Below are 25,817 nucleotides of genomic sequence, written 5' to 3' on the forward strand. Positions count from 1 at the left end.
GGGCCTGGGCCCTTAAGGGCAAGCACCCCCCCGCCCCCCACCCCCAGACAGCCAGTCAGGGAGGGCAGAGGCTGGGACTGGAATGTGTCCTGCCCACCCTCCCCTGCCCCAAACCCAACACCATGAGGCTGAGAGGCTTTATTTGGCTTTATTTAGTAAAATGTTAAAATAAATAAATACAAATTGATCAGCTGCTCTGTATCCCCCCCCACCCCCTCAAAACAAAAACCAAACAAACAAAAACAAAAACTTTGAAGCACAAAACTCCAAATACAAGTCTACCAAGACTGAAATCACAAAGGGCATGGACAAGAGACAGGGTTGGGGTCTGGCTGGCTCTTCTCTGCTAGGAGCTGGCTGACCTCTGGCCTGCCCGTCCCATCCCGCCTGACTGCAGCTCACCCTGGGCTGAGGACCCACGGACACCGGAGAGAGGTGAGGGTCCAAAGGCTGCTGGGGAAGGGGTAGGGGGGTGGGGTCCTCAGGGAGGAAGGGCCTTGTGGGAGGGGGCGCCAAGTGGAACTGGAGAGCCCTGCTTCCGTTTAGAGGAGGTATTTTTCAGAGTTCCTACCCCGGCTTTCTGGAGGGCAGCCCCAGCTTCCTGCCCCTCACTTTAGCAAGGGGCCAGAAGACTGCCCAGGGCTGCCCACTCCTGTCTTGGAGAGGAGCTGACTCAGAGGACAGTCTAAGTCAGGGTGAGGATGGGAGTCCTGCTTCCTGCCAGGGGTGCCCGGCAGAGGGACAGGGGCGAGGTTCACACAGAGCAAAGTTGCCTCCACTCAACAGAAGCCACGGGATCTGGAGAACCCAGGCCCTGGAAAATGCACCTGGGCCACCATCCATCTCATTACCCTAAGAGCCTTTTGCCCCTGGGTAAAAAGTCTCCTAAATTCAGCCCTTTAGATAAATAAGAAGGACCACGCCCTATAAGAGAATGAAGAGAGGAAACCACTGAAGAGTGTGTGTGAGCTGGGAGGTGACAGCCCAAGGGAGGCTCTGATGGCCCCAAGAGAGAAGTATCAGAGGTGGCTGGAGAGGCAGCCGTGCATGCGGAGACGGAAGCGTGCTGCAGACACGGTCACCCTCACGGAAACAGCTGTGTGTAACCACCTCCATGCACGCTGCCTGTTGGGCCTGAGCCAAGCAGCAGCAGGGACAGAGAGGCAGGTGTTGCAGGGAAACCAGGCACACGATGGTGCCAGCTGGAGGCTGCCAGGGCGGCCCCACCAGGGACTGCCCCTAACTGCCTCCCTATGTCAGGTACAACCAGCAGGCTTACCCCAAAGGGCCTGATAAGGAAGGAAGAAATCAAAACCCCAGAGGAGCTCAGCACAGGTGAGACAAGACCCAGCAGGCTCCATGAAAGAAAAAGGACCCACAGGCAGCAAGAATGCAGAGGTGGAGATGACAGCAACATGGCCTCACTGTTACCAGGATGCAGCGCCTGGACAGGAGCTGGCAGGGGACTCCCAGTCATCACTGCCACCAGGGCGCAGCGCCTGATCAGGAGCTGGCAGGGGACTCCCAGTCAGGGCCCAGTGGGCAGCCGCTCCAGCTCTCTGAAGTGACTACAAAGCCAGCTGGTCTCAAAAGTGGCTGTCAGAGCAGCTAAATTCTGGGCCGTGGGGAAAGAGCAGCGGAGGGAAGGAGGAGGAAGCAAGTGGAGGTGGCTGGGGTGGGGCAGTGTCACGAGCGTATGTCTCAGGTGGTCACAGGCCCCCCCCCCTCCCCGCCCAGGTCTGAGGGGACAGTGAAGGACAGGGAGATTGGGTGCCAGGGGCCTCTTCTTTACAGTAAAGCAGTGTTTTGGAATTTGAGTGCAGAATGTAGGTTTGGGGGCTGGGTTGCATCTCGTACTCCATACTAGCTGACTCCCAAAACAGCTCACATCTGAATGTCAGGAAGAATCCACAGCCCAGCTGCAGGCGAGGTCAGAATGTACCCGACACTGCTGAGGGCGGCAGGCAAAGCCCTGGTCAATTCCTAGCCCCGTCCTCCGACCCAAGACTCCTAAGGCAGCTCCTCTCTGAGCAAAGGCCTCTAGTGATGATGGTTTCCCAACTTCTTTCAGGAAAAGGTAAGTTAGGTGTTGTGTGGCAACCCCCAGATGGGCCCAGACAAGTTGAGGGGAAGAGCTCTAGACAGGGCAGACAGCCTGCTGCTGGTCTCTGATCCTCTGCCAACGATTCCTCCAACTAGTCCAGGCATCTCCAAGGCTCCCTGACTAGACACAGCACCTTGGTTTCTGAATGAGAAAAGGGAACTCTTTCCCCCTCAGCCAATCAAGCAGCCAGGGCCTAACTCTGAGGCCTGTTCAGCCTAACTTAATTCCTTCTTCTGAGGCCCCTGGGAAGATGAAAGGCGATGGCTGATAGAGATGAGACACATTTTACTCTAAGAAGTGTCTCTTCTCTGTTGCATTTGCTTTCAGATCTGTCTTTGTCTCTCTGGGCCTAATTGGGTGGGAGAGAAGCTGATAGGATCGTTTCTACCTCTCCTAGACTCTGGCCATTCCCAGGGCCTGGAGTGGGCTTGGGGGAGATGCTCCAGCAGGGCCAGGGTACAGAGCCTCCACCGCCCTCCCATCGGCCAGGGGCACGCAAGGGGCAAAGGTCTCCAGCGAGAGCACAAATCTGACACAATTTACTTCTGACAAGGCAAGATGAGAGAATGGTCTGAGTCTTTCACAACCCTGGTTTTCTCAAGGAGAGGCCACAACCGGCCAAGCCGAGGCAAGCGCAGCAATTCTAGCCCAGGGTCACCCAGGAGGCTTGTGGGTGGGTGGAGTGGAGTAAATTTCTGGTGCCTGGAGCCAACAGGCAGAGAAAGGAGTGGGAGCTTCAGACCTCTCCCCAAAGGCAAGACAGAGCGAAGGCCACGCTGGGGCTCTGTCTCAGAGACGTACCCTCAAAACATGTCACTCCTCCTCTGTTCTAAGCACCAAGGGCTGATGCAGCCAGCCTGTACTCCCGCACCCTCCTGTCACGGCCAGGGTGCGTGCGCACCACAGAGCTCCGCTGGCCAGTTCCCTCGGAGGTGTCCCCCAGGCACTCATAATGCTGGTGGCTGAAAGACCAAAAGCAGCACCAAAGGAAGGGATCTTATTTAGGCACCAGCCTTTTGCTCTAGCAGAATCTGAGAAGACCACGGGTAGGGCCCTGATACCATCCACGCTTCCATTTGGGCTTCACAACAGGAGACAAGATCCCTGCACCAAGAAGAGAGCACGGTCTTTTCTGAGGAGAGAGAAGGGTGGGGAGCTCCGCCTCTGTCCTTCAAGGAGACTGGCCCACCAGTCTAGAGACACACACACGGCAAAATGTCATCGTGATCAGCAGGGTCTGTGCTAAAAAATTATAACTACACGGCATTTTCTCCAGTTCTGACACCTTTTTAATAGAAATCACTGTTTTTAGGAAACAAATAGCACTTTTGTAATTTTTTTTTACAATGTTTCTTACCTTGATCTTAATTTAAGTAACACTAGGAAGACCTCAATATCTTTTATTTTCCTTTTTAATTTAAAAAAAAGTTTTTTTTCCCCAGATACAAAGATTTTTGCCCTTGCATAAAAAAACAGTGCCCGAACGATGACACAAGGACTCACAAAGACTCACGGGACCTCACTGACACTATGATTCCTACTCTACCATGCAAGGTCTTGGCTACCCTTAATTGGACTGTCAGCCTGAAAAACAGCTTTTCTATTCCTTATTTTAGTTTTTGTTACCAAGAAAGTAAAATGAACAGTAAAATAAAACTTTCCTTAAAGAAAAAAAGAACAAAAACAAAAATTAAAGAAAGAGAAAAGAAACGTCTCCATTCAATTCACACACACCTGGGTCGCGTGCTGCTTCACTCAAGATCTTCTCTTCTTATAAATATAGAAAAGGGATGGAGCTTGTTTTCAAGTAAAATCACTGATCCACCTTTTTTTCCTTCCTGGACACACACATCCTTCTTCCCTGCCTTGGGCAAGGGCCAGTGGCCCGGGCTCTGCTTGTTCTTGGAGAGGAGACAGCGGGATAACCACGGAGATGCGCGACTCACCAAGCAGGGAAGGAAGGAGACTGGGCAGGCTTCAGGAGTGGTGGGGTTACCGCGCAGGGAGCAGAGTGCAGGGGAGAAGAACCTACTGGCTGTTCTTGGTGTCAGTCTCCCCTTGCACGAGGCCCCCGCCAGAGGTGATTAAATACTGCTTATTTGATACACTGTCCCACCCCCTGCTCCCTCCAGCCACTCCCCTTCCCTCTTCTGGGCACTGGGGTTGGTGAAATCTCAATTCCTTTTTTTGGTTTTATAGTAGCGAAAGTTTAGAAACAGGAAAGCCCACACACTCTTTGGACTTGTCTTCTCTACCTAAACAAACGGCTCGGCAAGTAAGGATCTGAAACCTGCTCTCCTCCCTCCGCCCGTCCCTGCTCCCCACCCAAGAAAACAGAAACAAACCCATCGTGGCTGTGGAGGCTGCTGCAGGCACACACTGGTGTATAATAGAGAGAGTAAATATATTATTTCACTTGGCATGGTGCTGGCAAAGAACCTCCAGCTGGCACTATTTCATGTAACATGGTCCAATCTTTGCATGTACACACAGAATAAGAAGGATCAATTGGCAAACTCTGGTGCCACCTGGCACAAGCATCTTCTCTCTCTCTGGAACCAAAGAACCAAAAGAATTCTGCACTTTCCAGAAATCCGGCTTTGCTTTTCTAGAGTCTTCAGTGTTCTGTTCTCCTTGCCGCCGGGATCCCGTGGCTTCTCCTAGAGGGGCTCTGTTATTTAGTCTCTTCCCCCTGGTTACAGTTCGCTGTGCAGCTCTGGGAGGAGGGGGAAGGGGCCGGCGTGGAGGTGGCGGCATTGGCAGGGGGGGTGCAGTCCGGGCCATTGGAGATGGCCCCCACAGTGGCCTCAGAGTCTACAGGTTTGGAGAGGTCGATGCCGTGGATGAGGCGAATCAGCTGTTTTACCTTCTCCAGGGAGCTGTGCATCTCCTTCTGCCGGGCCAGGATGGTGTTCTTCATTTCCATGCATTTCTGCAGCAAATGACAAGGGCAGTGGCACTGAGCCGCCTGGTTTCTAACAGGCCTGGCAGCCCCTAAGAGCAGAGCGCCTTCTCTCTGCCCAGGGAGAAGAAGCTCTGCTGGCTGCTGTGCAGCCCCTGGGCCTTGCTGTGTTCCTCAGTGGAGTGGGCGGCTACCACCTAAGGAACAGGGCGGGTGGAGTGGGTAGGCTGGGGGGTCCCAGGTCCCAGAGGCAACAGAGGGAGAAAGAGCATGCGGGCACCAACACACAGGAGTACTAACGCTTAAAAACAAACCGGCAGAGCCGCCATCAGACTTCCAAACAAAGGTTGTTTAAAAAAAAAAAAAAAGTTCCCACAGCTGTCCTGCAGCCTGTTTAGGCAGGTTTTGATATGCTTCTGTCATGCTAACTGGGGAGCCTTCAGGACTGGACTGAGCTCTCCAGGGTGGAAAACACACAGTGCTATCTGGATTCCATCTGAGGGCAGCAGGAAGTGAGACGACAGGCCAGCAGCATTTAGGAGGATCGAAGCCCCAAGGACAAAGGCCTGCAGCCAGTACACCTTCTGCTCAGCCGGGGACTTAGAGTCTTTTGCCCTTTTGCCCTCAGCTTCCCACACCTGCTGGCTTCTATTTTAGGCAGGGAAAGAGAGGAAAGAGGTGTTAAATCTGCATGCCATGGGTAGGTATGGTGAGGAGGAGAAAGCAGGTAAGCAGGACAGTTCAACTGCCACCAAGTACAAGGCACCACCTGGTATCCATGAGGGCTGAGGTCACTTCACTCCAACAAGGGTGACCTACTCAATGGAAAAGAAGACTGGCTCCTTGCCTGGGAGAAGCCTCTGTCCCCCTGCTGCAAATACAACCCTCTTTCCCACTTGGACAGGCCGGGCTGGGCAGTACTTACTTCCAATACTTGTCTCTAGAAAGCCCGCTTCCTCACACTGGTCAGGAAAACCGGGAAATGCAATCAGCATGGTGTGGAAGAAAGAGCGAGGGAGGGCCGTACGGATGGGCCCACTCGCTCAGGTGACTAGGAAGAATCACACGAGGGGACCTGGTCTGTGTCTGCTCAGTGTCAGGTGAGGCGCTACACTCCCCCCACACACTGTCAGGAATACGCAGGGCCATGGCTACACTGTTGTAGCTGTTACTTATTCAGCCTGAAGACTGAAAATCCTCTCTCTGATTAAAGCCAAGAGGATGTTACAGAGCTTGGGTAAGGCACCACCTACCAACTGGCCGCCTGTACCTGAGGTCTGAACTCTAACTGGATGGCAAACTGCATTTGCCCAAGTTAATCACGTTAATAAACAGAAGGACCCGAAACAGCCTGGGGCCCACACGTACTGTTACGTATATTGGAAAGGCCTAGGTCTCTGCACCTATGTATCGACTGCTGAAGGCATGAGGTTTACTTACACTTATGGAATTGCTGAGCTGTTTCACCTTTTGCTCTAGTTGTTCTCGTTCTTGTTTTAAATCTGAACTCCATTTAAGTAACTTCTGTTTCTCTTCTTCTTTTGCTAAAAAAAAAAAAAAAAAAAAAAAGGAACGGTTTTTGACAATTAATTCTTTGAAATGTCCTCTGTGCTCAGAATGCCTGCCAAAGAAGGTATTTTCCCCAGAGCTCCCATGAGTCCTACAACCCAGTGCAGAGAATCTGCCCACCTGGACTTTTCCTTTTTCTGTGTACAGTATGCTAAAACTGTCAGTGGCTTGGGTCTGGCTTTACATAAATGAGATACCACATCTCATTTTCTTCCCCCAAGAAGTGCTACAGTCCAGGCATGATGGCTCATGCCTGTACTCCTAGGACTTTGGGAGGCCAAGGCAGGTGAATCACTTGAGCCCAGGAGTTTGAGACCAGCCTGGGTGACATGGCGAAACCTGTCTCCACCAAAAAATACTAAAGTTAACTGGTCATGGTAGTACACACCTATAGTCTCAGCTATTTGGGAGGCTGAGGTAGGAGGATCGACTGGGCCCAGGAGGAGGAAGCTGCAGTGGGCTGTGATCATGCCACAACACCCGAGCCTGGGTTGATACAGTGAGACCTTGTCTCAAAAAATAAATGAATAATAATAATAATAAATGCTACAGAAGTTTTCCACTTTATCCAATAAAAAGTTTTCATTTGCTTTGTTTCCTCCAATAGTTAAGGGCAAAAGGTTTTCATTTTTAAATTTAAATTCCCTTTTGAGAATAAAACAAATACTGCCAGTATTTTTTTCAAACAAGGGGAAGCTTACAAAAAAGTGGGTATGGATAACTCCTTACCTGCTTTGTAGGCAATATAGGAATGAACAATTGCTAAAGTTCCAGGCCATGGAATTGCTTCTTCCTTCTTCAGCATCTGAAAAGATTTTTAGAATTTTACCTTGAGAAGGAGGTTTAAACACACATCCTCTATGTAACAGCTAGCAGTGGTATCTGTGGCTACTGGCAGATAAAATCCAGGAAGGATTTATGGTAGCAGTGTTGCAAAACCCTGGTCTATAGTTTCTGGACTAAAAAGTTCCAAATATCAGCTTAGGAGAATCAAGTTCAAGGCAGGAAGAGCCAGGACACTTGAGCCCAGGCTTAGAAGGAGCTGGGACTTGGCTGAGCATTCCTATCTTTTCACACACGCCACATGACACCCAACCACTCCCGACAGCTAGAACCACCAACACAAAAGCTGCACATCAGCATGATGGCAGCAGCCACTGGCAGTTTCGTCCTTGACCTGACATGGGCTGCCTGTCTCAATTTTAGATTTCGATGTCCCTCAAAGACAGCCTGACCAAGAAAATTAAATATTAGTTCCAAATACTAAAGTATAATCTAGACCCTATGTCAAAAATCGTCAGAAGGTCACAAAGCAGCATCAGGAGGAGGACACTGAGAGAAGTGTTCCGCTGCACCACAGGCTGCAGGATGAGGACAATATTACAAGGGAAAACCAGAATTTGTTCAAAGCAGGATTCCAAAGAACTGAGCAGAATCCCAGTACTTGCTGAGCTATTGGGCTTGCTTATTTATTATTTATACTTTGCCTACCTCTAAAAAAGACTTGAGACAGCTTATAATAAAATCATAAAGACATAAATATACATGCATAGTTGAGAAAAGGCGACCAGAAACCAAAGAGAGAACGAGGGAGGCTAGGACAGTTACTAATATGTTTGCCTTTTAAGTCTATAAAATATCGACAGCACTTTACACTTAGTTCTCTGAGCCTGATATAACAAAATAGGTTAAAAGTGAAATGGGTGTTGTTTTATTATTAGTATTATTTTTTTGAGACAGAGTCTCGCTCTTGTCACCCAGGCTGGAGTGCAGTGGTGTGACCTCCGCTCACTGCAGCCTCCACCTCCTGGGTTCAAGCGATTCTCCTGCCTCAGCTTCCCAAGTAGCTGGGATTACAGGCGCCTGCCACCATGCCCGGCTAATTTTTATATTTTTAGTAGAGATGGGGTTTCGCCATGTTGGCCAGGCTGGTCTCGAACTCCTGACCTTAGGTGACCTGCCCGCCTTGGCCTCCCAAAGTGCTGAGATTACAGGCCTGAGTCACCACGCCTGGCCCAGGGTGTTATTTTAATTAATCAACTGGGCAATTTCCCTTAATTTCATTCCCAAAGAAGAGTTTTAAAACCATATACTTGGTCTGGACCATTCCTAGAGAATGAGGCACACTGGACTTTAAAGGGTCTTGACTTTTAAAGAGAAGACAAGTCATTTCAAATACAAGGAAGCATCTATCCAGCTCAGTAATATGGCAGAGGGCTTCTGAGGGAATGAAGGCCATGCGCCTGCGTGCTGTGTCATAAACAGGGAAGATGCAGCCCGGAGACGGACTGGGAGAGAGAAGAGACTGCCATTTCCCCGGGAAAGGAATTCCTCCTGATGGCCGTGTCTTTGTCCTCCTCGGCCCCTCCCCTGTTGGACCCACCCACAGTACCTGGTCCTGACATCTGGGACAGATCCACATGCCCTTGGGAATTGTTTTCAGAGGGGGGTCTAAGCAGTCCAAATGATATACACGGGAACATGTGTCGCACATCAGTAACTGGCCACTTTTTCTGCAAACGCTGCAAAAATCCTCATGAATATCACCCTATAAAGTTGAGAGGAAAGGTAAGAAAAAGGACAAAAAAGGTAAAATTTTAATGTTAACATGCACATTCTAGATGCATATAAATGTTTTAGGACAATCAGCTGCCTCGTTCCAGGAGTACTCAAGAGAAGCAGGAATCACCAATAGCACATGCCCCTACTCACTCCACATAGCTAAGGCTCCCTGGGTGGGGACAGTACAATAGTCCCCCCTTATCCTTGGGGAATATGTTCCAAGACCCCTAGTGGATGCCTGAAACCTCCGTACTGAACCCTATAAATATGTTTTTCTATACACACAGACCCACAATAAAGTTTAATTTATAAATTAGGCACAATAAGAGATTAACAACAGTGACTAAGAAAACAGAACAATTATAACGATATACTGTAATAAAAGATGGGAATGAGGTCTATCTTCTTTTTTCTTTCTCAAAACATCTTAATATTTTCAGACTGCAGTTGACTATGCGTAACTGAAACAATAAGAAGTGAAACTTCAGATAAGGGGGAGACTAGTGTATTCTTTTTTTTTTTTTTGAGACAGAGTCTCGCTCTGTCACCCAGGCTGGAGTGCAGTGGCGCGATCTCAGCTCACTGCAAGCTCCGCCTCCCAGGTTCACGCCATTCTCCTGCCTCAGCCTCCAGAGTAGCTGGGACCACAGGCACCTGCCACCACCCCCGACTAATTTTTTGTATTTTTAGTAGAGACGGGGTTTCACGTGTTAGCCAGGATGGTCTCGATCTCCTGACCTGGCTATCTGCCTGCCTCAGCCTCCCAAAGTGCTGGGATTACAGGCGTGAGCCACTGCACCCGGCCGGGACTACTGTATTCTTAAAGTTTACAGGAGAGGTCTATAGTCGCCAAGGCCAAAATTAACATTATAGGCGATACCTAAGAGTTTTATTATGTTTTGGTAGAGGACAACCTACATATCATAAATCTTACAGGTACGGAAATCCATTCATCAAAGTGTTTCACAATATGATACAAACAATTCTCATCACCTATCAATTCTAGGGGGAGTTTAGAAGGACTGGGAAAGAAGACAGACAAATATTGGAGTTTTCCTGAATTTGCTTGCTCAAGAAGAAAAAAATACAGTGAAAGTTCAAATGGGAAAATATTAAGTCAGAAACAAATTAAATTCATATGCGAGTTCTTTCTAAAATGAAGAATTTAAAAAGCCAAAGCAACAGCTGACAATGTTCTCCTAAAACCAGTATTTTGTGTTTGCTGTTCAATGGGCCATTCTATTCTGGGAGGCTTTATCCCTATAAAAACTTCACCAGCTGGAAAAAGACGAGCAGCCCCAGTCTGTTCTGCTGGTCCTGTCTCTCTACCACCCCCATCACAGTGATAGTGTTAGGACTCAGGTAAGTCTGCTGGAGCCTCTGAACAGAAGGCACCATCAGAATAAAGCAGATCTACTTAAAATTGGAAGAGGAGAACATAGCCCAAAAAAAAAAAAAAAAAAAAAAAAGAGCTATTAAAGAGGTCTTTTCCAGAGAGTCAATGCCTAGCTCATTCTCTGGATGGGATTAAATCCACTGATAAGAACACCAGGGAAGGGAAGACTGAAGGGAAGTGCTAGAGGTGACCCAGCAAGTCAAGCCAATGTGCTGCTGTGGATTTCCTGGCTATTCTGCCAGAAGGTCTAATACAGAAATTGTGCACAAGAAGCAATAATAGAGAGGAATGTGAATCCTTCCTTTCTATGATGTAATCCCTCCACCACCACTAGTGAAGGAACACATCGTCATGGACCTACAATTTCACTCCAAGGGAAACCTGCTCTGTAATCCACTAGGGTATCTGGCAGCCCAGAAAAAAGGCTACACAAGTTTTAAGATACATCATAGTGTGGATGGATTTTAATCTTTTTCTTTTTTTTTTTTTTAGACGGAGTCTCTTGCTCTGTTGCCCAGGCTGGAGGGCAGTGGCGCGATCTCGGCTCACTGCAACCTCTGCCTCCTGGATTCAAGCGATTCTCCTGCCTCAGACTCCTGAGTAGCTGGGATTACAGGCGCCCACCACCACGCCTGACTAACTTTTATATTTTTAGTAGAAACAGGGTTTCACCATGTTGGTCAGGCTGGTCTCGAACTCCTGACCTCATGATCTGCCCACCTCGGCCTCCCAAAGTGCTGGGATTACAGGTGTGAGCCACTGCGCCTGGCAGATTTTAATGTTTCTTAGTAGGAAAATGTGACCACTGGACAGTAAAAAAGATAACATATGTTCTAAAATATTACATGTGAATGTAGCCTAATAGTTTAACTTCTAGGCACCAAAAGAGGTAAGGTTTCATCCCTAGATTAACTATGATTTTCTTCCTTCATTATTAAAATCAGGCTGAGGGCTACTCTTTTCCTCTAGAGGGTCAGCCTTTCTTGAACCTTATCCCTAAGTGGTGAGTCTGCGTCTTTAGAAAGTTTATTTAAAATGTGTGATTTTAGAGACTGTTTTATGTGAACTACAGAAAAAATTATCAGTGATGGAGTGAATGAGACAAACTGGGCATCTTATTCAGACGGACTTGGGATAAACGAAGAGGCGTTCACTTTCCTTTGCTCCTGAGCAAGGAGCACATCAAGAAACAGAAGGCAGAAAGACAGAAAATAAAAATTAAATAATTTATTTAAGTTCCCAAAGGAAACTTCCTATCTGGTGTATATACCCTATAATTTTTGGTGTTAAGATCCCTTTTCACTCTTAAAGTTACTGAGGATCCCAGAGAGCTTTTATATGAGTTATATCTATTAATATTTACTGTTAATAGCAGTTAAAAAACAATTTTTTTTGAGACCGGGTCTGGCTCTGTCACCCAGGCTGGAGTGCAGTGCTGTGATCTTGGCTTACTGCAGCCTCGACCTCCCAGGCTCAGGTAATCCTCCCACCTCAGCCTCCCAAGTAGCTGGGACTACAAGTGCGTACCACCATGCCCGGCTAATTTTTTTATTTTTTGTAGAGATGGGGGTCTCCCTTTATTACCCAGGCTGGTAAAAACTTTCAATTCTGAATTACAGAACCATGAAAAATTACAAACAAAGCATATTAAAACATTTTTAAACTCCAAAACACAGAGGTACACATTCCATTAGCTGCCAGAGTGACATCATCACACATCATGCAATATCTGGTAAACCCCACTGTTCGGTCTTGAGAGAATGAGAATGAAAATGGCAAATGATGGTTTAGTATCATTATGAAAATAGCTTTGATTTTATGACTCCCTGAAAGAGTCTCGGGGACTCCCAGACTACACTTTGAGAACTGCTGCCCATAGAAATGAATATAAAATGCCAAAACATTTTACCCATACAGAACCGGCTCTTTGCCTAAAAAGAGCAGAGGAAGTCCTACGGAGGCACCATACCAGGTCAAAATGCTTAGGCTTTGATGACTGACCAAATTATTACTATAAACCAGACGGTAGGTAAGTTGAAAAACAGCTGGCCCATGATGCTTTGCTAGGCGCTGAGGACGTATGTTTTTAGGAAGCACTCTGGCAATACCAACTGCAATTTCATCATGTGCTAAACAATTTTTATAATTATGTTAACGTATCTTCCCTTCTCATAAAAATGATGATAGTGGCAACACGGTACATCCAGAGGATTAGTGTCTGGTAGGTTTTGTATTATACCAAGTCCCTCAAAATGGTTATTGATCCCTAGAAATGCCTGCCTCTCAAGTGTTATTGTTTAATTAATGTTGTTGGAACTTATGCTACCCAGCAGCAAACATACAGAGACCTGTGTGTTGATTTTAATCACTGCCACTACTGGGATACTGTAAAAGGAGAAGTCAATTATCTTAAAAATACCTTCTGCTGAGTTTAACTTAGGGAGTTCTTTAGAAAAGCTTTCTTTTACCTGTAGATTTCTGAAAAGAAAAAGAATGTTTCAATTTTTAAAAAAACCTGGCAGAAGCTCTTAGTTTGTGAGTTGATGAGTGGATCCTTTGGGTTCAATCTTTCAAAGAAAACCATAATCCCAATTGACCCAAAAAATACAACAAAAACAACACTGTTTAGGAGAGAGACTCACATGCAGAACCACAAAATCAACTGTCCCCTAGCATTTGTGTACCACCCTAGAGGGAGAGCTCTACCAAGAGGCCAATGAGCTGGTGATCCTTTGGCAATACTTCAACTGAGAAAAAGTTGGGACAATCTTTGGCGCTAGCAAACAAGATTTCTGAGAGAGACCCTGCTGCTCATTAACAGGACAGTTAGGAAACCTGTGTCAATTATTAATGCCAAAAGTCAGGAAAGCGAGACAAAATGCTGAATCTTTAGAGAATGATGAATCTGTAACCACCAGCGACGTCTAAGGAAGGAAACAAGGAAACCTGTCAAGAGAACAGAATTCTTCTATGACCCTAGTCCTCCAAAGGTAACACTTTCTTTGTTACCTCTGGAATTTTAACTCAGAATATTCATATGGTATTCTGCTGCTCCTTGGAGAGGGGTGTGCCACTAGTAGGTTCTGAGAACCTTCAAGTTCAAGGGACATTTTATCTTAGGATGGTCAATGACAAGCTCTGTAATTCACCAAATAACTGGAACATGTGTGAAATGAAACTCTTTATTTCCCTCCTCAGATCTGCTCCTCTCTTAATCTTTAGTAAATGGAAGCTTCATCTTTCTAGTCAGTTAGGCCAAAAACTTTGGTTTTCTCCTTGACCATTCTTTTTCTCATAACCTATATTCAATCCTGATGGCTCTTCAAAATATATGCAGACGTGATCACTTTTCTCCATCTCTGCTTCTTCCAAGCTATCATCATCATCATCTTTCTTTCCTTTTTTTTTTTTTTTTTTTGAGACAGGGTCTTGTTCTGTCACCCAGGCCGGAGTGCAGTGGCGCAATCATGGCTCACTGCAGCCTCAGCCTCCCATGCTCAAGTGATCCTCCCACCTCAGCCTTGCAAGCAGCTGTGACTAAAGGGGCACACCAGTATGCCCGGCTAATTTTTGTATATTTAGTAGAGACGGGGTTTCACTATATTGCCATCACACCTGGCTAATTTTTTAATGTTTTGTAGAGACAGGGGTCTTGCCATGTTGTCCAGGCTGGTCTTGAACTCCTGGGCTCAAGCAATCCACCCACCTCAGCCTCCCAAAGTGTTGGGATTTACAGGCGTGAGCCACCGTGCCTGCCCATCATCATCTCTTGCCTGGACAACTGCAAAAGCCTCCTAACTGGTCTTCCTGCTTCCATCCTATTTTCCCTATAGGCCCTTTTCTTCTGCATATTTTAGACACAGTGATCCTTTTTAAAATCCAAGTTGATTTTGCATACATCTTAAAAATAATAAATGCAAGCAAGAATCATTAAAGGATGCTATCATTAGATAACAGTTTGTTGGGAAACTGGATATTCATACAGACTCAAAGCTATCTCCACCACAGGAAAAAGGCACATTTACAGGTGGAAAAATCTGATAGAAACTATCTTAGGAGATGAAAGTTAACATCACCAACAACAGAAGAGACTGACAACACGTGCCCCCTGCTGTGATGCCCTGATAATGACCCATCGTCACTTATTAGTGCTCCTGCAAAAATGCATACCCTGAATCTACTGCTGAGAAAAAAAATCAGACAATCCAAACGGAGAGGCATTCTACAGAAGAACTGGCTATCTTTTTAAAAACGTCAATGTTATGAAAGACAAAGACTGAGAAACTCTTCCAAAATAAAGGATTACCAAACAGACAATATCATGACAATAAATGTCAAGAGTAATCTTGAATTGGACCCTGAAGCAGGAAAAACAAAGTGTCACAAAAGTAAGTAAGGGACAAATGGAGCAATCTGAATATGGACTGTATATTTTATATAGTAATATTTTATTAGTGTTAAATTTCCTCAATTTGATAAATGCATTGTACCTACATAAGACAGTATCTTTGCTCTTATGAGATATATAGCAAAATATTTTAGGGTGAAGATTCATGAAGTCTGCAACTTCTTGTTACCTTGTTCCCCTAAAATAAGTGTGTATGGTAGGTGAGAAGCATAGGCAAAATGTTAACAACTGATGAATCAATGTGAAGGATATACATTGGTTCTTTGTACCATTATTGTAACTTTTCTGTAGGTTTGAAAATTTTCAAAATAAATACCGAAAAATTATGTCACTCCTCTGCCCAAAACCCTGTAATGGTCTCCCATTTTACTGAGAACGAAAGCCACAAAGCCCTGCGCAACTGGCCCAGCCACTTCTGAGGCCTCATTTCCCACCACCCTGGCCAGCTTGCTCTGCCCCCGCTATCCTGGCCCTCTTGCTTTTCTTTCAGGATGCCATGTACACTCCCACCTCAGGGCTTTGCACTGCTGTTCCCTCTGCCTGGCAGGCTCTTCCCCCAGATCCTCCCGAGGCTTCACCACTCTTCATAAACATCAGCCTCCTGCCAGTATGCTATATGCCCTTAAATCCATTCCATTTTTGATCTCTTTTTAGAGATGGAGTCTCACTCTTGTCACCCAGGCTGGAGTGCAGTGGCACAATCTCTGCTCACTGCAACCTCCGCCTCCTGGGTTCCAGGGATTCTCCTGCCTCAGCCTCCAGAGTAACTGGGATTACAGGAGCACGCCATGCCCGGCTAATTTTTGTGTTTTTGTAGAGACCAGGTTTCGCCATGTTGGCCAGGCTGGTCTTGAACTCCTGACTTCAGATGATCTGCCTGCCTCGGCCTCCCAAAGTGTTGGGATTACAGGCATAAGCCACCATGCCCGGCCCCATTTTTCTTCATAGCACTTATCATTACCTGACATTATATATTCACTTTCTTATTATCTGCCTCTTTAGATGAGCTCCTTGAGGACAGGGAGTTGGTTTTGTTCCCTGCTGTATCCCCAGCCTCAAGAATAGCACTTGCTCAGCAGAGTAGCGCTCAGTGAGTATCTGCTGAGTGAATTCTGAGCTTTGTTGAGGTTCATTTAAACATTTAGAGCACTAGTTCACATTCCTGCAGTTTGTGGGTGAAGGGCTACTAAGTATTTGACAGTTTTTCCGGAACCTGTTTCTGATCAACTCTGCTCTAAAGAGCAGAGTTTCTGCTCAACAGTTTCTGATCAACAGTTGCTCTAAAGAAAACTTTCCACTTTTGGAATTGTATTTGAAGCAGCAAACAAGGGCTGCTGGGGGACTGTATGTCTTGTTCATTTTCCCCACTCCCAAAACACTGATGATAGAAACCTGCACACCTCTCAACTGTATGAGCTGATCTCCCCACCCCATCTGTTTTCTGAGAACTCATTCACAGTAGATCAAATTCAGACTCTGAAGGCTGGCTGAGTTCCATGAGGTTATATTTAACATGTTTCTCAAGGACATGGAAGGCCTGGAAACTCAGAAGAAAGCTGCCTTACATGGCATAAAAAGCATTCTATAGTGTTTAATTGCTGTTCCAGGGTTAGTCAAGAAGGTGCAAGTCGATAAGGAGACAACATATGATAACGCTTTTCCCAATTTAAGCTCTCAGAAAGACAGTGTGCTTTTCCCAAGTTACTTACGTCTGTGGAGGTGGGGCTGGGCAGGGACACAGGCTGAACAGGTGCAGGGAAAGTGAATGTGGTCTCTGTCTTTTCATTTTCAGGGGAGTCAGGATGACTGGATTGGGGGGATGTTGGGGTAAGGGCTCCAAACCCCAGCACTGCATTGTATTTTGGAGGACGACCTATATACCAAGAGAAGGGAACAAAAGGGAAAAACGGGGAGGGAAAGAGAGGGGGAAAATGATCTTACATACCTTTGGCCAGTGTTCCTCATTGGCTAGCATGGAAAAGGAAGTGAGGTAGCAGACAGAAGGTTAATTCAACAGTCCCAAAGGAAGGAAGAGAAGCAAAGATTTAAATGTCATTAGAAACAACTATATGACTCTCAAGAGAAGGGAGGATAAGAGAGCTCTGGAGAATGACAGAAGGTGCTGGCTTATGTAGAAAGACCTCACCTTGGGCAGATTGTGGTGAAGTTCCTGGACTATTGCAATTTGAGATTTCTAGTGCAAGAACCAAGATGTCAAAGCCCAGTGGGAGCCAGGGCCAGGAATGAGTTTATTTTATTTATTTATTTTTTGAGACGGAATCTCGCTCTGTCACCCAGGCTGGAGTGCTGTGGCACGATCTCGGCTCACTGCAACCTCCGCCTCCCGGGTTCAAGCCATTCTCCTGCCTCAGCCTCCCACGTAGCTGGGACAACAGGCGTGTGCCCAGCTAATTTTTTGTATTTTTAGCAGGGACGGGGTTTCATCGTGTTAGCCAGGATGGTCTCGATCTCCTGACCTCATGATCCGCCCATCTTGGCCTCCCAAAGTGCTGGGATTACAGGTGTGAGCCACCGCACCTGGCCGAATTTATTATTTTTTCATATCTTGCATACTGTTCTCTAAGGTTTCTCTGCAATCAGCATTCTCACAATACTTTAATGATTCTCAGTTCCCACAAACTGATTTATTTAGGATTTCTGCTTTTCCTTCTCTATTCTGTCTGCATTTTATGAGGGTGGAGACCGGCAAAGCAAGGAGGCAAAATTCAAGTTAACTATTCTTATCCCTTGCTTTTAGAGCTATTGAGAGGCATGTTCTGGGAGTAGCTGAAACCTAAGAGCTTAAAAGATGCTCTGGGCTTAGCAATTAATGTTTAAGTATTTCTGTCCCTGGATACCCTCCCCAGTTGACTGGCAGCTGTCTCCCCCACTTTACATGACAAACATCCTGATAAACTACATCTCTAAAAATTGGGGCTGTTTAAAAGTCTCAGGAAAGGCCCTCCCATCAGCACTCCTAACTGAGAGACCTGATTTGTGTAAGAGCATTTTGACTCAAACTTCAAGGCTACAAAGGAACTTGAATGAGCCCTGTGGGTACAGAAAGTCTAGGTCAGCCACTCTTGCCTTACCACATATCTAAGTCAGGGCCCTTGTCTTCTAGGGGCAAGGTCATTGCTTCTAAGCTATGAGTGATCAAAAGTATATGCCCAACACACCAAAGGAAAAAAAAGGGCCAGAGAGATACAAAACTGCCTATAAGCACTGGTAAATGGTATGTAGGATCATGACTTTGCCAACAGTTATCATTTATATTAGGATTATGCACAAGAGTCATGATTCTGTCAGATGTTACAAAAATATTACCTCTCTGTATTAAATTGGTGATGCCTATAGTACAAAGACAGATCGTACTGGTTTATCTTTTCTAGGGAGTTCAGTGCTGCTGGAAGGGGAAGAACAAGATGAATGCTCTCTTGTTTACCCACAAAAGGCATATCCTAGGCACTGTGGATGCAAGCTTTTATCCTCTGACCTTAGCAAGAGATGCCAAGGTCTTTCTGGCTCATTTAACCCCTGTCCTCTTAGCAGATACTGCCCACTATCAGGCCAATTATTGTGGCTTCTGGCTGGGGGGCTCCTTTCCGAGAACTGCATCAGGGGTCACTAAAAAAATCACCAAGCACAAAACAAAACAAAACAAAACAAAAATAACTTAGAGTACTGGTTACTGTGGCCCAGGAATCAATATAAAGCCATGACTTAGGGTTTCCCATCTAAATATTTTTGAGTACTTGAAGGACAGGACTGATGAAACATTAGAATGGGTTACTAAGGGTGGGTATATCTCTTTTGTGGAGAGGGAATGGTAATAGTGTAGTCCTGCCTAAGGCAGACAAAGGGTCAGGATGACCTCCTGAGCTTCCAGTAGCTCTGAGACTGTGTGTGCACATGCAAAAATTAGTATGCTACTCCGCTCACTCTGCAACCTTTCTAGCCTGCAACTATAATTCAGGGACACATTACCATGTGGAGAAAAGGATCTTGGGATGTATTACTGACATCAAAGAAAAATTTCAGTACCTTGTTTATGAGCTCAAACCCTGAGCTGTTAAGACCTATTTAGACTTGCATGGTGAGAGACACTGCTGCTGCTACTGCTATTTTTTCTGCTCTGCCTAAGAGTAAGATTCTGGAATGTCCATGGGAAGGTCTGAAATATGGGATTGGAGCTCTTTAGGAATCTGTTCTTTAGGGAGCCTGTTTTGAGAGTGACCTTTTCTTCCTTAGTTGGAGATGCCCTCTTCTCAAAGATTCTAAGTTCTCAAGTGTGGCTACCTCTTTCCTTCCTGGAAAGTCTGCAGCTCCAAGAAACTCAGCGTCACACTCTGGCCTTGCCGGCAGCAGGACAACCAAGACGCTATTAGGAACACCTTGGCAATGGCAGTGCTCTGTTCTGCTTAATGACTCTCAAATGCTTCCTTTTACATGGGGTTCTGTTCACTGTGCTATTCATGGATGGCCTGGCAGGCTTGGGGCAGAAATGCTACATTAAGCCATTCCCCTGAGTCAGCTTTGCCAGAATCCTAGTAAAGTCAGCTTTTGATTCAGCATACAGAACTCTAATAAGAAATCTCATTCTCTTTTCTCTCCCATTCTCAGAGAACAACAACAAAACTATTTTCAAAGGATAGAGGAGTTAGGTCCTATAATGATGGGAGGAGGGAAGGAGAAGAAACACACACACAAAGCAAAAGCAACAGCAGCAAGGGAGAGATACAAAAAGGTCCTCACCTCTCTTCCGGGTCCCAGGGTGCATTGTGCTGTTTAGGTATGTCACTGCACTCTTCTTACGCTTTGAGGGTTGAAGGAGGAAAGGTGACTGTTGAGTAGTGTGGTTATTACTAATACTGGCACAAGCTAAAGACCAAGCATGGCATGACTGTCAACATGCCGACTAGTTAGTGCTAATCATCCTAAGGTCTCAATGCTCAAGGGTTTTATTGTATGTACTTGGCTCTCAGAGACTCTCTCAGAGAAGCCTGCCTCTGTTGCCGATGACAGCTGTATTGAAGTCAGGGTGAATTAAAATTTTAAGGTAGGCATGTATCTGCTGAAACTTAGGAAAAAAACCTAAGGGGTAAGCAGTGACTAATAAAAATGATAAGTCAAAAAAAATCTACCACTTCACAGAACTGGCCAAGTACAATCAGGGTGCTGCTCTTCAGCAGGTTTTCAGAGGGGAGGCACTGAACAGCTCATAAATAAAACTGGAACATGAGGGAAGGGCCAGATGCTGGCCAGTAATACCTCTGGCTCAAAGACTGCTCCACTGTAGACCGGATTTGCTGTTGTTCTTCTTTTTCGCTCTTGCCTCTTGCTTTGGATTTCTTGAGAGAAGAAAAGGTTTTCATTAGCAGAGAGGCATGGAGAACCTAAAAAACTTAACTTCATTGTTTTATCTATTGGTTTTCCCATAAGAAATCAGAATCAGGGACAAGTCTCTGTTTCACTGAAGCCTCAGCAGAGGCAAGCACACTACTGGAAGCAAATATGTAGGACCATCTACTCTCACCTGCAAGACCACGCTGTCCTACACGTGGTTCTCTGTTGAGAGTTTAACAATAGACAACACTTGTAAACAAGTTGTCCTGATTTTTAGACTGCTGTATATATAGGTCTGGATGAGCTTTATCCATAAGACTTAAACTGAGTAACCAAAGTTCATCATTCTTGAATTAAATAATCAGGACAGGTATAGCTTTGTAACTGTTGTCAACATTCTGATAACCTGGAGTGACCAGAAAATATAAAGGCTTATCAGAAGAGCACTTCGCTGTGCTGTTCAGAAAAAGAAGAGCTCCCCTAAATGAACAGAAGTCACCTGAATTTAGGCAACTGGGGAGGTTTTCCCAGGACAGTAGTGTGGATAATGATAGGAACATTAGACAGAGGGAAGGCAATTTTCCCACTAAAGGAAATAAAGTCCACATTGGCTGAATCATACTCTATTTGTGTTCCAATTTTCTATTCCAGGAATTCAATCAAACATCATTTTCAGGAACAAAGCTGTGGGCCAGAAAAAAAGGCAGTGCCAAGAATATCTTCTCTTACCTTCTAGATGGTCATGTGTTACCAACCCTAGAGACACCATGAAGGCAAGTTTCTGTGCCAGAGAAACAAAAGAAGAATATGCTTCAGTCTGGGTTCTCACAAAGCCAATTGCCAGTTCCTAGTAGGACATTAGGGAAAGCCAGCCCAATGGGCGGGTCTCATGAATGCACAAGAGCAGGCATTCTCTAAGCAGCCATGGAGATCCTCTACAGCAGGGGTGTCCAAGCTCTTGGCTTCCTTCAATGTGGGCCACATTGGAAGAAGAAGAATTGTCTCGAGCCACACATAAAATACACTAACACTAATGATAGCTGATGAGCTTCAAAAAAAAAAAATCGCAAAAAAAACTCATGATGTTTTAAGGAAGTTTACGAATTTGTGTGGGGCCGCATTCAAAGCCATCCTGGGCCACAGGTTAGAAAGTTTGCTCTAGAGGCTCTCTGGTCTAACAGGGCCAAAAGAGAAGGACTGGGGTCTACATCTTCTTTCTCAATGACAGAAATCAGTATCTTGTGTGATCCGAGTGACCCGCCCCACAGAAAAATCCTCTTAAAAAGAAGAGGATTTCATACTCACAAAACATGCAGAGAGTTTTAAAGAGCCTCCCATTTAACAAGCTCCAAATCCTGAGTGTTTCACTTGTCACGACTAGGTCAGTTTCTCACATTTATACTGCCACAATGCTAACTCACAGCTAAATGATTTTCAGGAATGACAGCAGGTGTTTCTGCTGAATACTATGATTTTTCAATCACACATGAACCTAAAAATTATGGAGCAATTTCTCTCTGAAGACCACTCTTAGGGCTCCATCAGAAACTAAGCTGGTCAAAATACTGGGCCCTGAAGATGGAACGTTAAGACTCTTCAAGCCAGAGAGGGAAACAAATTGATTTCTATTCTTTTCTTTGCTTGCATGTGGTCTGAAAAGTGTGTCTTCATTTTCTGTTGTACTACTGCATGCAGTTTCTAAATATGCCAAATAATACATTATCAATTTATTTCTCTGATGAATAAAGAACATCTTCAATTGTAAAAGACATACTCCTGTAGAGTTATTTATACCACAATTTGATCTTTAAAAGTCCTGACATCTTATCCTCGATATTATCCTACTTTGGCCTGAAGTGATAGGTTCAGCCTATTTGAAAATAAACTTCTTCAGCAAGCCACTTGAGAACATAGAAATGTCATTTACTGGTAACTTCAGAGTCCTGAAGAAATGTTTTTATATTATTTCTTATTTCAAAAACTGAGATGGGCACCTATCCCCTTGACAGCCAGATTAGTCTGGTAAGAAAAAGCAGTCTTGGACTTTCCTGCTTTCTAAACTGTATGTTGAAATGACATACACTTTGTGGTTGCCAACTAACTACATTCCTAATTTTCACTATTCCTTAGAAATATAATCAAGATCAAGAGGCTTTCCCCTAACTGTTGTTCTTTTGATGAAGCAGTGTGTGGACTGATATTCAGATGCACCCTCTTTTAAGCAAGTAACAGCACCCTTATTGGCCACTCACACCCAAATCATCTTTGCCAGTTTAGATCAAGCTCATAAAATAATTAAGTGAAAAAAAATGTCCTCTCTTGTGGAATAAATTTTTTTTTTTTTTTTTGAGGCGGAGTCTCACTCTGTCACCCAGGCTGCAATACAGTGGCACAATCTCGGCTCACTGCAACCTCTGCCTCCTGGGTTCAAGCTATTCTCCAGCCTCAGCCTCCCGAGTACCTGGGACTATAGGCACGCGCCACTGCATCCAGCTAATTTTTGTATTTTTAGTAGAGACAGAGTTTCACCATTGGCCGGGCTGGTCTCAAACTCCTGACCTCAGGTGGTCCGCCCGCCTCAGCCTCCCAAAGTGGTGGGATTACAGGCGTGAGCCACCGCGCCCAGCCTAAATTTTTGATGATAGAATAAAAAGCTGTCAAAAACTTTTACCTCATATATGTATCCCACATATGCCAAGAGCAATTTACTTTGTTTATGGCAGTGATTCTGTCCAACTAGAAGGTGAACTATATGCTACTACACATGATGGTACTTGCTTGCCCACACTGGGTCTAGCTCCATCACCTAGGCTGGAGTGCAGTGGCACCATCTCAGCTCGCTGCAGCCTAGACCTCCCGGGCTCAAGTGATCCTCCCACCTCAGCCTCCTGGGTAGCTGGGACTACAGACATGTGCTGCCACACCTGGCTAATTTTGTTTATTTTTTGCAGAAACAAGGTCTCACTATGTTTGCCCAGGCTGGATCCTTCAGTTTCCTTTGATAGGGAAATTTTGCTCAATTTTTCCTTCTCAGAGCATAATACTTGTCATTAATTCTGTGGATGATTTCACAAGTTCCTCAGCAATTTTTGTGACTAGTACTTCTTTTTGGCTTAAGTTTTGGTCCTCTTTTTCAAGATAAAATTAAAAATTCATTCATTTCATATCAGAAAGAATTACATTTCGTACTTGTTTTAGGAAACCTGAACTGGCTCAATAAATCACTGCTTTAAAAAAATGGCATGAAGCTTTGATGGCTTTATGCCACTATTTCACATGGTTTCATTATGAAGAAAGCACTAAGGATAGGGGCAAGAGAATTACTGGCCAAATGAAATCTGTCAGATATTCATCATCATATTACCTGTCTACATTTTCCATTTATAGCTGCTTATGCAAAAACATCAAACTGAAAAAATTTGCTTGTCTAAGGACATACAGATTCACATTCTACATTTTTATCAGGGTCTTCTTTGCTATTTATGTTTATAATTCTATCCTAAATTATAGTATAGATGTTACTATTTTCATCCCTACTTTTATGCTTCAATGGATTACTTCTGAGCTACTGATTCATTTGGGGTTTGGGGTTCTAATGTAATACAATGGTTGTAACAAAAACGCACACTTAACAACTGCAATTGATAATATAAATACACATTAGCTGAGTGAACTAGATATCTTATAAATGTTGGCTGAGACAAACAGAACACAGTAATGATTAGGAATGTAATGGGACAGCTGGGAAAATCATCGCTCATCTTAACATTTCAAATTTGTAACATGCATATGAAGAATAACATTTTAAAAAACTTTTCCTTTGATACAATCAAAATGCCTATGTACTAGTGCATGGACCCTCAAGACTACAGTCTAAGAATTCCACTCTAGACCAATCTGACTTGGCAATAACATTGCTGAATAATAAAAGTGCATAAGAAAATGAACATCGAGTTCATTTCATCATTCAGAGAGCAGGTGCCCCTCCTGGTACATGAGAATAAACCATACACCATAGACTGAGACCTGCCTTTGGAAACATAGGCCTACCTGAGGGTTCTCCTCCCGTTTTGGTTTGGGTGCAGCAGGTGGGGTGATGGTGCGGCTCTCTGTTTGTTTCTCATCTGTTTCTGTGTGAGATTTAACTGTCTAGGAGAGAAAAATTAAATAAAAATTCAGAATTCGTTTTTTATTAAAAGGATGAAGCAATCAGAAGTTTAATAGTAGTAGTCAAGAAGAAAGAAGACAACATATTCAAATGTGGAACATATTAATAAAAAGGTTAGTATTATAGATTTCATTGGGGGAGGGGAAACTAAAATGTAAAGCCCCAGTTGAAGTTATTAAATTGCATGGCTAGAGTAAATATGAATCTATAAATACGAGTCTAAATAAGGTATATGAAAAGAAAAGTATGGTTTAATTCCTAAGTATAGAAATACGGTACAGGTTGTCCTTTCTGATTTCCACGTATTTTAGAATGTGGGGATAGTTGCCCAGAAGCAAGCCTGCTATTTTTTGTTGTTGTTGTTGTTTTGAGATGGAGTTTTGCTCTCGTTGCCCAGGCTGGAGTGCAATGGCATGATCTCAGTTCACTGCAACCTCTGCCTCCTGGGTTCAAGCAATTCTCCTGCCTCAGCCTCCCTAGTACCTGGGATTACAGGCACCCGCTACCACACCCAGCTAATTTTTGTATTAGTAGTAGAGACGGGGTTTCACCATGTTGGTCAGGCTGGTCTTGAACTCCCGACCTCAGGTGATCCACCCACCTCAGCCTCCCAAAGTGCTGGGATTACAGGCGTGAGCCACCATGCCCAGCCCACTGTTTTTATATTATAGGTCAAGCTCCAGCTCACAACCTGCTTAAGATCAGAATGATGTTAAAAACATCTCACATACACAGTCTCCTATTTCGGAACAATTCCAGTCATAATCTCAGAGAGACTGCAGAACCACCCTTACATGGAATATTAAAAATCTGTCTATATAATCCATCAGAGGAGAGATGCAATTGCTAAGAGTGGGCCATCTTGCAAGAGGCTGACTTCCTAATTTTTCCAAGCCTCTTCTTCCAGAAGCCTCTTCTCAAGCAGAAGAAACACCAGTTGATTACCATCTTCAAACACAAAAGGTAGCTAGCATACTGGTAGACTGGGCTTGCATTCCTATTCTTACCATGACCAATGTCTAACTCATTTTATGAAGCTCTCCGTAAATACTGAAATAATTTTAAAACAGAAAATATCAAACTATAAACACAAACCTAATTTACTTTTTCAAAATTAGAAAAAATGTGGAAGTAATGCTCCTTTCATATGGCAACAATAATTAAATAAGTGAGAATAAAACTGATTATTGATGGGCAGGGGCTACATGAGACTTTGGTCCTACAAACAAGACATCTAAAGCTCTCAAAAATCATTATGCTGGAAATATTTTACTAGATCTGAAAAACACAAGCACATAGATCTTTGATTTTCTTTCCTGGCCACTTCCATATTTTCCTTCTGCTTTTATATGATTACATAAA

General features: G+C 44.6%; 1 protein-coding gene across 55 annotated transcripts in view, besides 4 other annotated features; it reads right to left on the bottom strand.

Moving 5' to 3' along the window:
- Positions 1-129: 129 nt before the first annotated feature.
- PHF21A (PHD finger protein 21A) overlaps positions 130-25,817 on the bottom strand; it is a 192,136-nt gene continuing 166,448 nt past the window's right edge. For 27 of the 55 annotated variants that reach the window (XM_047427091.1, XM_047427085.1, NM_001101802.3 and 24 more), the window contains 9 exons: positions 24,338-24,436; positions 21,017-21,068; positions 20,213-20,292; positions 19,697-19,757; positions 16,651-16,814; positions 8,968-9,123; positions 7,305-7,380; positions 6,447-6,550; positions 130-5,036 (listed from right to left, as the gene is read on the bottom strand). In XM_047427091.1, the coding sequence (XP_047283047.1) occupies positions 4,779-5,036; positions 6,447-6,550; positions 7,305-7,380; positions 8,968-9,123; positions 16,651-16,814; positions 19,697-19,757; positions 20,213-20,292; positions 21,017-21,068; positions 24,338-24,436 (1,050 nt within the window). In that variant the 3' untranslated portion in view covers positions 130-4,778. Of the gene's footprint in view, positions 5,037-5,931; positions 6,058-6,446; positions 6,551-7,304; positions 7,381-8,967; positions 9,124-16,650; positions 16,910-19,696; positions 19,758-20,212; positions 20,293-21,016; positions 21,069-24,337; positions 24,437-25,817 lie in introns of those variants that run through there. The other 28 variants (NM_001352030.3, NM_001352031.3, NM_016621.5 and 25 more) reach the window with 6 other exon arrangements.
- Positions 769-958: an enhancer, noted in NCBI's record as "active region_4673". NCBI's record gives its function as "activates an Ori minimal core promoter by ATAC-STARR-seq in GM12878 lymphoblastoid cells {active_cell/tissue: GM12878}" and the evidence as "EXISTENCE:reporter gene assay evidence [ECO:0000049][PMID:35858748]".
- Positions 1,309-1,398: an enhancer, noted in NCBI's record as "active region_4674". NCBI's record gives its function as "activates an Ori minimal core promoter by ATAC-STARR-seq in GM12878 lymphoblastoid cells {active_cell/tissue: GM12878}" and the evidence as "EXISTENCE:reporter gene assay evidence [ECO:0000049][PMID:35858748]".
- Positions 5,546-6,544: an enhancer, noted in NCBI's record as "H3K4me1 hESC enhancer chr11:45956286-45957284 (GRCh37/hg19 assembly coordinates)". NCBI's record gives its function as "activates a minimal SCP1, AML or CMV promoter by ChIP-STARR-seq in primed H9 embryonic stem cells {active_cell/tissue: H9 hESC(primed)}" and the evidence as "EXISTENCE:reporter gene assay evidence [ECO:0000049][PMID:30033119]".
- Positions 24,988-25,153: a silencer, noted in NCBI's record as "fragment chr11:45975728-45975893 (GRCh37/hg19 assembly coordinates)". NCBI's record gives its function as "represses an EF-1alpha promoter that drives an FKBP-Casp9 reporter gene in an ReSE screen in HepG2 liver carcinoma cells {active_cell/tissue: HepG2}" and the evidence as "EXISTENCE:reporter gene assay evidence [ECO:0000049][PMID:32094911]".

This window comes from Homo sapiens, chromosome 11 (assembly GCF_000001405.40).
Source record: "Homo sapiens chromosome 11, GRCh38.p14 Primary Assembly".
Lineage (NCBI taxonomy): Eukaryota > Metazoa > Chordata > Mammalia > Primates > Hominidae > Homo > Homo sapiens.